Source organism: Homo sapiens, chromosome 1, assembly GCF_000001405.40.
Source record: "Homo sapiens chromosome 1, GRCh38.p14 Primary Assembly".
NCBI lineage: Eukaryota > Metazoa > Chordata > Mammalia > Primates > Hominidae > Homo > Homo sapiens.
Window position 1 is genome coordinate 229,117,969 of NC_000001.11, and position 13,891 is coordinate 229,131,859.

Here is a 13,891-nt window from a genome sequence, read left to right on the forward strand (position 1 = left end):
CCTTGCATTTCATGTGCCATCCTCAGTGGCAAGGCGAGGTGCTGTCTCAGCCTCTGTCGTGAGAAATGAGCAAGTGGGGAAATGGGTGGGGACGGCTCCGGGGAGCTGACCAAGAGCGTCAGCCACGTGACTTGTCAAGGAGACCCAGGGAGCAGTGACTGAGAGAGGAGGCCAGCCTGGGAAAGGAGCCAGGTGCGCCAGCCCCCGCCCTGGGGCCAGGACAACAGCTTCCATGCACACACAAGAAGCAGAAAACTTTTTTTTTTTTGAGACAGACTTTTGCTCTAATCACCCAGGCTGGAGTGCAGTGGTGTGATCTTGGCTCACTGCAAGCTCCACCTCCCAGGTTCAAGCGATTCTCGTGCCTCAGCCTCCCGAGTAGCTGGGATTACCAGCAGCTGCCACCATGCCCGGCTAATTTTTTATATTTTTAGTAGAGACAGGGTTTCGCCATGTTGGGCAGGCTGGTCTTGAACTCCTGACCTCAGGTGATCTGCCTGCCTTGACCTGCCAAAGTGCTGGGATTACAGATGTGAGCCACTGTGCCCAGCCAAACTTATTTTTAAATATTAAATTTCAATTAAATTAATATGAATTTTACAACTTAACAAAATCGCAGAGACAAAAGGAACACTCAGGAAGTAATTTGAAGTACACTGTCAGAAAGGTGTCTTATGATCTGATTGTGAAATAGTTCATCCTTCACAAACTGCATTCACATGCCTTTTAACTGTGTCCTCTTGAGAAGTTTGTGAGGAGGTTTCAGTCCCCAGGTTGCAGGTGAAACTGGCAGAGTTGGGGGTTTAAACTCGGACCCTCTCAACTTCAAGCTCAGGTGTCTCTTCTGCTCAGCACTGTTAGATTGCACAGTGCAGCCCACAGGTGGCTGAGCCTGTGGCATCAGGTGCCAGGTCCGGGGGAGAGGTTCAGGAGGGATTGGAGAGAGCCACAGGGCTGTCCTGAGAAGATCATCTTCCTGCTCTGCTCAGTGGCCTCTGGTCAGAACCAGGAGGAGAGGTGGAGACTTCCTGGGGACCCAGAGCTCACAAGGCAGCCAGGCCCAACAGTCAAAATGGATGAGCTGTCACCCCAGATGTGCTCAGGCGCAGAAGGAACAGCCCTTGGAAGGGGCTTTGGCCCAGGTTCAGTGTCAAGGGCTAAGTTCCTAAGGCCCCTTTCACCCCAGAAATTTCAGGCAAAGGCGAGTCAGGGAGGCTGAGTGGTCCAAGGAGCTGCCCAGGTGGCTGGCAGGACCTGTGAGTCAGAAGGGTGGGGGCTTGGAGGAAGGGCATGGGTGGAATGAGCAGGAGAAGGTCACGTGGTCAGGGAAGCTGTGCCAGCCGCTCCTCAAGGCTGAGAGACCTGGGGCAGTCAGGAGAGGTGGGCAGAGACACCACCTACACTCCCACCTTCTGGCTACCTCTATTCTGGGAGAAGGAGGCAGACATCCCACGTCTGCCCTCAGGACGCCCCATGAACGGTAGAACAAGAAAGAGATGCAAAAATGATTCTCACTGGCCCTTGAGCCCCTATGCTCCAGCCCACTCCCACATTGTGGAGTGTACTTTCATTTTCAATACATCTCTGCTTTTGCTGCTTAAAAAAAAAAAATGATTCTCACCACACACTGACGCTCCCACAGCCACACACACACCCGCACTCATACACCCTCGTATACACTCTCAGCCACACGCATATTCACGCTCTCACACTCACACAGTGCTATGGGACTGAGTGTCCACCCAGATTGGTGCATTGAAACTTAATAGCCAATGTGACAGAATGAAGAGATGAGGTCTTTAGGAAGGTGATGAAGTTACCAGGACAGAGCCCTCCTGCGTGGGGTTGGAGGCCTTATAAAAGGGCTGAAGGAAGTGGGTTCATTCCCCAACAAGAGGACACAGCGACCTCCCTTCCAGGGACCGCAGCAACATGGCGCCATCTTGGAATCAGAGACCCCTGACCCTCTCCAGACACCAAAACTCCCAGCCTCCAGAACTGTGAGAAATAAATTTACGTTGTTTATGAATGACTCAGTTTCAGGCATTTTATTACAGCTGCCGGAATGGACTACGACACACAGCCATACGTTCACATTCACACACATACTCACACCCACACACTCACACTCATGAACACACTTACTCATATACAACCACATGTGCCAGCAATTTTGAACATTTTGCAGATGAAAAAACCGAGGCTGAGAGATGAAGAGGAGCCTCTCCAGCCACAAGGTACATAAGTCAGAGCTGCACCCAGATCTGGGCAATTGACACCTGCCTGCTTCTCTCTCCTGCTCTCGGCTCCCAGTCCTGAGCAGTGAGTGAAGTCTAGGAGGAGAAGGGTCAGGGTGGCCACCATGGCCTGCCAACTGCCACCAACAAGCTACTGCACTCACATGGGCCAGAGACACGCTTTCCATTGCTCATTACCTCGCACTCTGGTGGCGCCACGGGGGCACTCTGAGGGGTATAGATGTTGACGTCGACAGCAGTGGAGAAAAGAAGCATGGGGTGGGGGTTCAGGCCATGGGACAAACAGCTTGTGCTGCCTCCAGGGCAGTAGTAATGAGCTGGTCCATGTCCTGTCAATGCGCACCTTCTAGGAACAACTAATGAGGGCTCTTACAAATGACACCCAGCAGATAAAACACTCCCCTGAGTGTGGGCCCAGACTCAGTCTGAGGCCTTATGCTAATGGCCGGCTGCCTCAGTCAGGTGTCCCAGCTGCCTGGCTCCTCTCGAGAGACAGAGTGTGTGTAAGGTGGGTCCTGTTTTTAAACCTACAGCTTCTGTGCCTCTTCTGGGCCAGTCAGACCACTCTGAGAAGAAGAAGGGAAATTGTCCTGATGAGAAAAGTGAAATCTTTCTGAAGTGAGGGCGGAGAACCTGGGGAATCCTAAACAGAAATAGCAGAGGCTTGTTTTCAGATTTGGAAAGAGACGGTCTCTCTGCCTGAGTGGGTTTTCCATTTGAGAGGTCGGTGTCAGCCAGTGTGTGCAGACCAGGCCGCCTCACAGCCATGCGAGTCTAACTGTAGCCCAGAAGGGTCAGGTGAGCCAATTAAGTCCCTACAAACCCACACCCCCTTTCCTTGGGTACTTTGGAAGGCTGCTGAGGAAAATGGAACCCACTCTAGACGGGGAGAAACGGATTGTTTTTAATTCCCACACACTCCAAGCCAAGCCAAACCTCAGAGAAGTATTTAGAGAAAGGATTTATAAAGTTGGGCAAAGTCAGTTACAGGGACTCCAAGCACCCTGATAAAACCTTCCCAGTTAATAGAAATCACACGCCGAGCCTTCCCCGAGACCTAGGCCGCGCCTCAGAGCCACGGGAGCCCCACTGTGCTCGTTCAGGGTCACCACAGAAGAGCCTCCCTGCTTTCTATACATGTGCTTTTATAAACCCCTCAAATTCCCAAGACTTCGTTCCAAGACACGACGCCTCACCTGAAATGACTCTCCTGGGCCTGGCAGCTCAGACCCCAGGGTATCCTCGGCACCTGAGAGAACATTCTGGATGAGCTGGTGAAACCATGTACCTGGCCCTCGCTGTCAGGTGGCCCCTGCTCGTGGCTGAGCCAGCCCTAGACCATCCAGATCCAATAGGCAGACCCCACAGGTAAAGCCCCCAACGCCACACTTTCTCACTTCACCAATTCCGTTCCCACCCCTCAGGCCCTGCTCCATGTGAATCTGACCCATATATCCCTGGAAGGTACAGCAGCACCCCCCAGTCTGCAGTTGAATGAACCATGGTCCAAAGACAGGTGAGTATGGTGCGGTCAGATATGTCGAGAGAAAGAGAAACCACATTCACATAACTTTTGTTACAATATATTGTCATAAATTGTTCTATTTTATTGTTATTGTTAATCTCTTACTGTGCCCAATTTATTAACTCAACTTCGTATTAGGTATGTATGTGCAGAGGAAACAGCAACATAGAGGCCCGTAGGCGTTATCGTTAGGATGTTTGTCCTGCAAACTGCATGTTGAAATTTGATCCCCAATGTTGGAGGTGGAGCCTAATGGGAGGTGCTTGGGTCATGGGGGCGAATCCCTCGGGAATAGATTAATGCCCTCCCCTGAGAGAGTGGGGAGTTCTTGCTCTGTTAGTTCCCTTGAGAGCTGGCTGTTAAAAAGAGCCTGGCACCTCCCCTCTCTCCCTTGCCTCCTCTCTCGGGCATAACTTCTGCACTCACTGGCTCCCTTCACCTTCTACTGAGAGTGGAAGCAGCCCGTGGTCCTTGCCAGATGCTAATGCCCGATCTTGACATTTTCCAGCCATCAGAATCATGAGCCAAAGAAGCCACTTTCCTTTATAAATTGCCAGCCTTCTGTATTCCTTTAGAGCAACAAGAACAGACTCAGACAATAGGGTTCGGTACGATCTGAGGTTCCATGCATCCACTGGGGAGTCTTGTAACATAACCCCTGGGAAGGGGAGCTCTATTATATTAAGCCTTCCTTTGTCACCTCCTCAGACAACTCTTTCCACGGGGACTTTCTCAATTTTTGCCCAATTTCCACATATATGAATTGAAGCCCACGCTGTGCGAGACACTGAGAGGTTATCATGATGGATTGACAGAGCTTCTCTCCTGGAAGAGCAGCTGGGGAGTTCTGCCTGGTCATATCAGGAAATGTCTGGGGCAGGGAGAGGACGGACAGCTATTAAACCTCAGGAGAAGCCAGAAAGGAGATCATGTCTGAGCTGGGGGCTGGAGGGAAGGGTAATGAGAATTCAGACCTGAGCAAAGATGGAGGCATCATTGGAGAGGAGACGGAGCAAATCCTGCAGTCAAAGCAGGAGCCAGGCTGGGAGGAATCCACAGGTGCTCGTGGGAAGGCAGCATCAGTGCTGGGAGGAGTCGGAGCTGTTCTCCAGCATCTGCTCCCCAACAGAGGTCATGGTCCTGCCTCCACGATGCATTCCTGCCTTGCTGCTGAGTGGCCTGCAGGCTCCTTGACATTCGTCTTTCCATCAGGCACTTGGCATCACCCCTGGAACCCTATCTGGTGAATAAACAGGAACCATCTTTCCTCTTACAAGCATCCATCAAAGGATCTGAGCAGAGGAATGATGTGGTCGGATGGGAGCTTTAGGGAAGTATCTTCACCATCCGATGAGAGAGAGGCTAGAAGGGACAAGGAAGGCAAGAGGCGGGTTAGGAGCTGATTGTGATAATCCCCTCGGCCTGGCTCCTCCAGCACTGAAGCACTGCCCATGCCCAGTCCCCTCCATCTGAAGACCTGACTGCAAGCCCAGTCTCAGTGGCCCAGCTCTGGCCACCTGCCCTGAGCTCCCCTGAGCTGGCCCGGACCTTCTCATCCTCTCAGCCAGTGATTTGAGTCTGATCCTCAAGCCCGGCCATCACTGCATCCGTTCAGGTCACAGGTATTACTGCACACCTGCTCTGTGCCAGGCAGCTCCTCGCCCACTGAGCCCCAGAGGATGTTCCCTTTGTGCTTTTGTTGGCACTTGTGGTGACAGAGGTGGCTGGTCACTTGTCAGGTCCTGGCAGAGTCTCTATGCCCACTCGCTTCACAGCAGAAGTGCCACCTCCTCCTTGGGCAGGCAAACCTGCCCAGGGGAGGGGTACAGGAGCCCTGAGGCAATCTCTTTGGCTTGGTTGTAGAGGCCCACTCTTCCTATCTTGGGAGCTCATAGGTTGTAAAAAGATGAGGGAATGGGCTTGGACAGGACCTATTTGCAGCCCTCCTAAGAAGGGCCTGGGCTTTTCTGACTTGGAGTTCCTGGTCCTTATCAGGCCCACGCATGGTGGGTGGAGAGGTCTCCTGCCAAGGTACCCTGCTTTGTTCCCAACTTCCCCTGCCTGAGTTTAAGTAGGGAAATACTTGGTTCCATGAAAAGCAGCTGTAATAAAGGTAGAGCTTCTCATACACATGACCCACCCAGCCTCCAGCCCCTCAGGAAATGCCATGTGTAAGGACACACAGGTGGACCAAGGCAGCCAGAATAGGTTCTTGCCCCTTTGTGTGGAGCTCTTTCAGGCACTGCCGTCTCCTGGGCATCCCCTTTGCTGCTAGAGTCAGACCTCTGTGCAGACCAGAAGCAGCTTCCGCAGGTGGCACTCTGCAAAAGGCTCACTTTCCATTCCTCAGCCTCCTGTCATCTGGCTGCTGCCACTGCATTCCCTACCTTCTTGCTTGCCCCTTCCTTAATGCCCATCTGTTTGTCTCTGTTTTTCCTGCTCCACTGCTTATACCCCAAGCCCCCAGCATTGCTGGTTCATCCCCTGGTGGTCCAAGTCCAAAGAGATTGCCCACTCCCTAGAAACGAGAAGCTCCTCTTTGCTTATCCAGACCTGCAGATGAGTGAAAAGCCACAGAGAAGATTATGTGGTTTGCAAACTAAGAAAAGAGGAGGTTGACCCCTGTATTAAATACACTGACTCTTAAAAGCTACTCTAATTTGGAAGGAAAAAAGGAACTATTGAAGGATCCTTATTACTCCCTGAGAAATATTGCTGTCTCCCACTATTGCTCTGAAAGAACCAACTCATTGGTAAAAGGTTTCCAAGCAAATGTTATGCAGGACCTGTCAGGAGCTTGGACTTCACCTGTTAAAGAGTAGACCGCCATGAGGAAGCATGGCTTGCAAGCCAGGGAGGCAGGTGATGGCGCTGGAGCCCCACGGTGATATTCGTGGGAGCAGCACCCTCCCCACCTGGGGACGGGTTCTCCTGAGCAGGTGGATACTCCACGGCAGGGGCTTGCAGTCTGGTTTCCTAACCATATTCTCAATGGGACAGAGTCCAAGTTTCGGAGCGCAGAATCCTGACTCTGCCAGTTAGGACAGCCTGGAAAGCCCTGAGAGAAGCCTCAGGAAAAGCTGATCTTCCTGGAATAAAATTGTTTTCCTGCAAGTGGCCCCTGAGTATCCAAGGGCCCCAACGATCCTAGCAGCTTTCTGAGTGGGAGTGACTACTCTTTAGAAAGAATTGATGCCATGTAGTAACTGGCTCCCCAGCCTGAACACAAGAGCGGGAGGGAAGAGCTGAACAATTACTCCATTGAAATCATCTTCACGTGCACTGCAGTGTGGGAAGGTGGTTTGATAAAGCCTGGCTAATGTTAAATCTCTGTAAGGATTAAAGGGTTGATTCATTAATAATTACCTGCAGTACTATTTGCGATTCTGTTGCCCAAGACAACATCTTTTAGGGCAGCTTTCTTTTCATGGCCATTAAGAAATTATTAATAATTGTGATTTAGTGAGAAATTATTAATGACTTCTTAATGGGAGCGGAGAGAAAGCTGACCTAACAAAACCGTCATCTTGAGCAGCAGAATTGAAAATAGCCCTGTAGTTAATTATTATTAAAATCAGTTATAGAGATACTCATTTTTTCATTAAGTAAAATATGTATTGTAGAATAGATACCCAAGTAATACGATTTTGAACGATACAGCCAGGATTTTTAAATGCTTTATTGTTGCTCCCATAAATTCCTCAACTACCAAAATTTGTGCTGGGAAAACTAATCCTTCCTATCTTGCTTTCTTGGGTCTCTAGAATTATCTTCCTTTCTGCCCTCAAAAGGATGTGATCTGCCACATTTCCAAACACCCGCTTCCCCTCTTGGGATCTCTGTCTTGGTGGTTATATCCTTTCTGGAATATAATTGTGGGTGAACTTGCTTCATCATCTCATTTTTATTATTGTTATTATTATTTTTATTCCCTGAGGGGCACTAGGCCTAGGACATCTATACTTTGTGTTAAACACCATATGGTTTATCCACAACACACACCTGGTAAATGTGTCTGAAATGACTACTCAAGCCCCGAATCAAAATGTGGTCACTCCCATGGTGTGCAATGGAAAACTGGCCCTCAAAGAGGCCGCACTGAGCGTCCAAGACCTGGGTACTACTGCCCCCAGTTGAAATCTTAATTTTAGTTCTATCCAAACTATAAAGCTAGGAAGCTTTGGCTCCTTCCCTAAAGAAGCCGCATTTCCCACTCATTGCCATGCCCCCTAATTGGAAGGAGAACCCACATTTTTTTTTCCTGAATCCAAAGTCTTAGTCTGGAAGTGGTGCTGTTCTCTACACCTTCATCTATGTTCTATCCTCTCAGCCAGCTTCTCCTCCCTAAACCAATGGACATCTTGAGAGCTCATGTTTTCATGTTCCTGTGGGAAGTTTTTAGACAAATAAAATTAGGAGATGTGGGATGTGGAGAACAGACAAAAGTTAGACGGAGGGTCAGCATGACTATAAGATCAAATAAAGAAAGATGCAGTTGGTGTTTTTATTTTTATTTTTTTTACACTGGGAATTGTTTGGTGTTTTTATTTTTGAGCCAGGGTCTCTGTTGCCCAGGCTGGAGTGCAGTGGTACCACCATAGCTCACTGCAACCTCTGCCTCCCAGGCTCAAGCGATCTTCTTACCTCAGACTCCAGAGGATCTGGGACTACAAGGCTCTTGCCACCACGCCCGGCTAATTTTTGTAATTTTTGTAGAGAAGGGGTTTCACCATGTTGCCTAGGCTGGTCTTGAACTCCTGAGCTCAAGCAATCCACCTGCCTTGGCCTCCCCAAGTGCTGGGATTACAGGCATAAGGCTCCTTGCCCAGCCGCGGTTAGTGTTTTTAAGCACGAAGAAAAGAAATGTATTTCATCTGCTATCTGGATCCATGTGCTGTAACTAGAGACAAAATAATCCTTGAAGGGACCTGAAAACTTACTTTCAGATGTTTTTCTGGGATACATCACTTTGCTAGGTGGTAACTCAGGCAAGCATAGAGGGTGTGACCGTACTGGTTTTCTTTATAAATCAGATATAAGATGAGAAACAAAATGCATAAGGATGCCTCCACTAAAAGGTCAGAAGAAAGATGGAGGCGGTGGCACACGTAAGACAAGTTAGCAGAGGAGGGGGAAGGTGATGTGGAGGGAAATGAGGTTAAAAAAATTAACTGAAGAACATACATGGGCAAAGAAATTTAAAGATAAGGCTATATTTTGACTAAGCAGGTTTAGTCAGGCAACAGAGACAAAATTCCCTCAAAATTAATTTCAATGAACATAATTCTTTTTTATTATAGTTTTTAAATTTATATATAATAGTTGTGCATATTTTGGGGGTACGTGTGAGATTCTGATACCTGTATGCCGTGTGTGATGATCAAGTCAGGGTAATTGGGATATCCCTCAGCTCAGACATTTATCCTTTCTTTGTGATGGGAACATTATAATTCTTCTCTTCTAGTCACTTTGAAATTTACAATAAACAACTGTTAACTGTAATTTTCCTATTGTACTATCAAATACAATGAACATAGTTCTTAATGACAGACATCAGAACTTAGAAGTTTTCAAGATGGGAGCAGAACAAGTTTTGATCAAATGTACACATTCTTAACTTGTGAACTGACCACCCCAATCAAAACAGATTTGAGCAGCACTCTGAGAGAGGACACGTTGGAAACCACAAAGGAAGTGGCTAGTGGGAAGGTGCAGGGATGGGGAAGCCCCAGGAGGCCTGGAGCCAGCCCTCAAACTCAGAGCCACAGCCAAGCGGACTACAGACAGCCATTCTGTTGCTGGAGGCATCAAAGCCTTGTATGAAAGAGGTCCAGTTCTGATGCCCACACTATCCACAAATGTTAATTCTTCTCAGTGAACCCCAAAGCAAACTTGTGAACAATGAGGGAAGCCTTCAATTAAACTTTTAAGCATTCTTGAACCTCCCCTCTGCAAATACTTATTTGTGTTATGGGTAAGTTTTGAGTTACAGATTGTCGACATGGGGGATGGATTCAAATGATTCAGCTACATTTCAAAAATTCTCAAGCTAGAGATCAAGTTTGAAATGAGTATGGATCTAGAAGAAGCTGAGAAAACAATTCTAGGAGATTTAGACGAACCAAAATGTATTTCTTCTCCCCAGTCCTAAACTAGTCCATGTTTTTGTTCTAAGTGGCCTGCTGTACTTTTGTAAAACAAAAAGACCACCCAAATCTCTAGTATTCTGCGGCCTATATAATCAGTGGGCAGAGTGAATTTTCCTTCCTTGCCATGGACCAAGAAGAGCCTCATACACCCAACTGTGGCCTCACCAGATTGTTTTTAGCCTGATGATGAGCCTCTATTAAACCCAGAATTTCTTTGTCCCAAAGAAGGGTCATGTGTGTTTAACAGACATAAAATCTGCACTAAGTGGGAGTCCTGGGCCAGCCTGCTGCGGCCTGTGCATGGTGAGAGGGAATCCTGCATAGCCCATCTGCTGCAGAAGAAGTTTCCAGAGAGGAAGAGAGGCCACCCAGAGACAGAAGCTCGTCCTCCCACGTCTCTCTAAATGAACCTGGTTTCTGCTTTCCCCGGCTGCTCCCAGAACCATTCAGATCTCCCCTTACCCTCTATTTTGCTATTGACTTGTAGAGACAAGGCCCACTTGGGCCTGCTTAAAATAGAACTCCCTGCGCTGGAGCCAGTTCTATATCAGTGAGTGTGCGTGTATGCTGATTTTCTTTGTCCTCTTTATAAATGAAAAAACTAAAGGTAATTACAATAAGAGCTTTGTTTTTTTAAAATTAAGCTCTTAATAAGTATCATGAACTAGTCTTTTTTTTTTTTTTTTTTTTTTTTTAGACGAAGTCTTGCTCTGTTGCCAGGCTGGAGTGCAGTGGCGTGATCTTGGCTCGCTACAAACTCCACCTCCTGGGTTCAAGTGATTCTCCTGCCTCAGCCTCTCGAGTAGCTGGAACTACAGGTGCCCGCCACCACACCCAGCTAATTTTTGTATTTTTAGTAGAGACGGGGTTTCACCGTGTTAGCCAGATGGTCTTAATCTCTTGACCTCGTGACCCGCCCGCCTCAGCCTCCCAAAGTGCTGGGATTATAGGCATGAGCCACCGCACCTGGCCTCTCAGTTTTATAAGCATTACCTTATTTGAACTTCACAAACAACCTGAGTGGTTATGAGCTGAGTATTGTTGCTATTATTAATCTATAAATGAGGAAACTGAAGCTCAGAGAGGCTTATTTACTCCCCCAACGCCACACAGCTAGTAAGTGATGGAGCCCAGATTAAAACTACTCAGTCTGACTCCAAAGTCTCTCCGTCTCCCTCATTCTCTACCCGTCCACACCACGGTAAGCTAGTTATCTAAAGGTACAAACAGGAGTTTTAACTTTTACTTTTACTCGTGAAAAATAAACCCCAGGAAATTTGAGCCATAAAAGCATCAGACCGACCCTTGGATTGTTCTGCAAAATCAATGCAGAGAAAGCAGAAAGGCTTTCATTGAACCGTGTAGCTAAAAATAAAAGACCCAACGAGCAAAGATTCCCTAGTGCTGGGCAGGAGAGGGGATCAGGGAAGTAGAAGAGAGAGGCAGCCTCTGAAGGGGCTCCCACACAAGTGCAGGGCGGCAGCACCTTAGCCGCAGAGCCCCGGGTGCTCTTCTTCCTGCCGGGACACCTGAGCCCACGTTCTCCTCTGCTGCTTGCCTCTTAGCACTCAAGCTGAGGTGTCGAGACCACATCCCAGAGGGCAAATGGCAGACAGTTAAGGAGCTGAGCAGCCAGCTGGGGTTGCTTCTTCGTCCCCAGAAGCCCCGCCAGCAACTTCTGTAGACCTGCCCATGGCCAGGACCTCGTCACAAAGCCTCCTCTGGATGGGGGGCCAGCCTCTTGCAGCTGCCCACCCAACCAGGGTGCTCGTAGGTGTCAGGCAGGACTCAGCAGCAGAGAGACAAGTCTTTCTGAAAGCAGAAAGGGAGTGCTCATGGGGAATTACATGACTCCCGGAATCATTAGGAGGCAGGTTCGCTTCCCAAAGCCACGCCACAGGGCTGGATGCGGAAGGACCTGCCTTCTGCTACAATTAGGGAGGCCCCAGTCACACCGGGAAGCCAGGGCTAAAACTGCAATGCTTTTTCTAGGAGCTCTGCCCCTACATGGGTGCGTCCCTCCCTGCCTCTGTCTCTCAGCTTAACCCTGCCTCAAATTTAGTCTCGTGACAGAAAAAATGGGACTAATCTGATTGGCAGAACCCACATCACATCCAGAATCCTAGCGCAAAGGTGCTGGGAAGCGCAGACTTGCTTTCCAGCTGTTGCAGAACTAATGGCACAGAGGAGGAAGCTGGGGTGGATGCCACACACGCCCATCAGCCACGAGTTAGCAAAGGAAGCAGAGACCTATTTCCAGGGGACTTTGGCTTCTGAGCTGCTGGTGGTGGGGGAAGGGAAAGGGAAGGGCACTGGGGTGAAAACAACCCTTCTTGCTTTCCTGTGCAGAGGACTCAGGATGTGGTTGGTGAGCCCATCATCTGGGGAGACGCATGAAGGGGAAAGGGGGAAAGAAAGCTTCAAAAGAAACATGGCTGAAGGGTTCCCGTCCTGGAGAAGAAGGGGTGGTGCTGGCCGTGACACTTACCCTATTGCCTCACAGACCTGGAGCGATTGACCTCTCTTGTGCACACCAGGGAGTGGGAGGGACAGGGGGATGAGGACATAGGCCTGCCTTGAAGAGCTTGCACCCTAATGAGAAAGCTAGAGCTGAGAAGCGCAAAGACAGGATGGAACAGGCAGGGTCCTTACAGTGCTACAGATGGGTAAGCTGAGGCCTGGGGGGTGACCACCTGCCTGGCATCCCCTGTGCCAACCTCCACCCCCCAGCAGGCTACTTCCATAGCGATCCAGGCTTCAGAGCATCTCAGGTTCCAGAGAGGCTCCAAAACGCACCAACTCAAAGTCTGTTTTACTGGAAATGTTCATGAAAATCTATTCCATTACTATTTAGATTATCAAGGCACACCACAGGGTGAAGTTTAACATGCAGCAAAACTTTTCTCAAGCCTCTTTTTCCAGCTCTCTCACTGATTCTCCAAAACTTCTCTCTTACTCTCTGCTCCCAGCAAAGCCTTGCCTCCTGGCAGCCCATGTGGGTGCCTGATTTTCTTCTGCTTCTTTTATTTAACCTCTACTCTTAATTCTCTCCTGCAAGGAAGTCTCTGATTCTTCTTCTGTAATTCCCAGCTGTCTCCCCACCACTTGCCTGCTTGAATCTCCATTTCTCTTTCTCTCTCTCCCTTGCCCTGATTCTAAATTGTAAAAGCCCAGAAATGGAGCTGGCAAAGATAGAATCCACTTTCGTCGGTGAAGGGCAGAGAGGTTATGAAGGCTCCTATTGCAAGCAATCATGGTCTCTGTTCACTCCCATAGCAAAGAGAGGAAACGTGAATCTCCTTCTCTCGAGCAGGTAGCTTGGCGTTCATTACCCTTCTTAGGAGCACTCCATAAATGTCTGAATCTCAGCAAATGTGGCCCCCCACCTCCTCCCCATCTCTGCCCTTGAACACTTGGAAGATCTTTAGAACCTGTCATCACTTGCCCAGGTTCATGGCAAAAGCAGACCTAAGTTGGAAACACCTGGCTCTCAGCCTCTCCACCTTCACCCCTGGCTTCTTCTGCTGTCAAACTCCTCTGAGTTTTTAAGTACAAAATGTGACACTTTCTGGTGTTGACCAAGCTGGAAACCAGCAGGTGCCCACATCTTAGACTACCCCTGCCCTCAACAGCAGCTTACATACTTAGAGTTTATTAAATCTGTTTACCACTACTCTGCACCTTAGCACAAGCATTAGTTAATCCCCTGTTTGGAGATCAAACCCAAGAAACATTTAAATATGATCTCCTGCCCAGTGTGGCAAACAAATCATTTCCATCATGGAAAAAAACCAGGGAGGAAAACAATGGTGCATTGAAACCAGTTATGCAACACAATCCTCAGTGATCAAAGTCCTCTGGTTTTCAATTAACGCAGGACATTCAGAGGAAGAGGGCTGCCTGCTTATTGATTAGTTGATTGTTTATGAAATGAAGAAACCTCATCTTTTCTCTATATT

The 13,891-nt window shown here is 48.6% G+C and overlaps 1 long non-coding RNA gene across 3 annotated transcripts in view, besides 1 other annotated feature; it reads right to left on the reverse strand.

The window, feature by feature from the left end:
* Window positions 1-13,891, reverse strand: part of LINC02815 (long intergenic non-protein coding RNA 2815) — a 67,626-nt gene that overhangs the window by 30,869 nt on the left and 22,866 nt on the right. The window contains exon 2 of one of the 3 annotated variants that reach the window (NR_186727.1): window positions 4,758-5,145. The exons of the other annotated variants lie outside the window; for them this stretch is intronic. This is a non-coding gene — a long non-coding RNA (long intergenic non-protein coding RNA 2815). The remainder of the gene's footprint in view (window positions 1-4,757; window positions 5,146-13,891) is intronic. 3 annotated transcript variants of the gene reach the window in all.
* Window positions 12,054-12,348: an enhancer, noted in NCBI's record as "tiled region #2560; HepG2 Activating DNase matched - State 5:Enh". NCBI's record gives its function as "activates a minimal TATA promoter and a strong SV40 promoter by Sharpr-MPRA in HepG2 cells {active_cell/tissue: HepG2}" and the evidence as "EXISTENCE:reporter gene assay evidence [ECO:0000049][PMID:27701403]".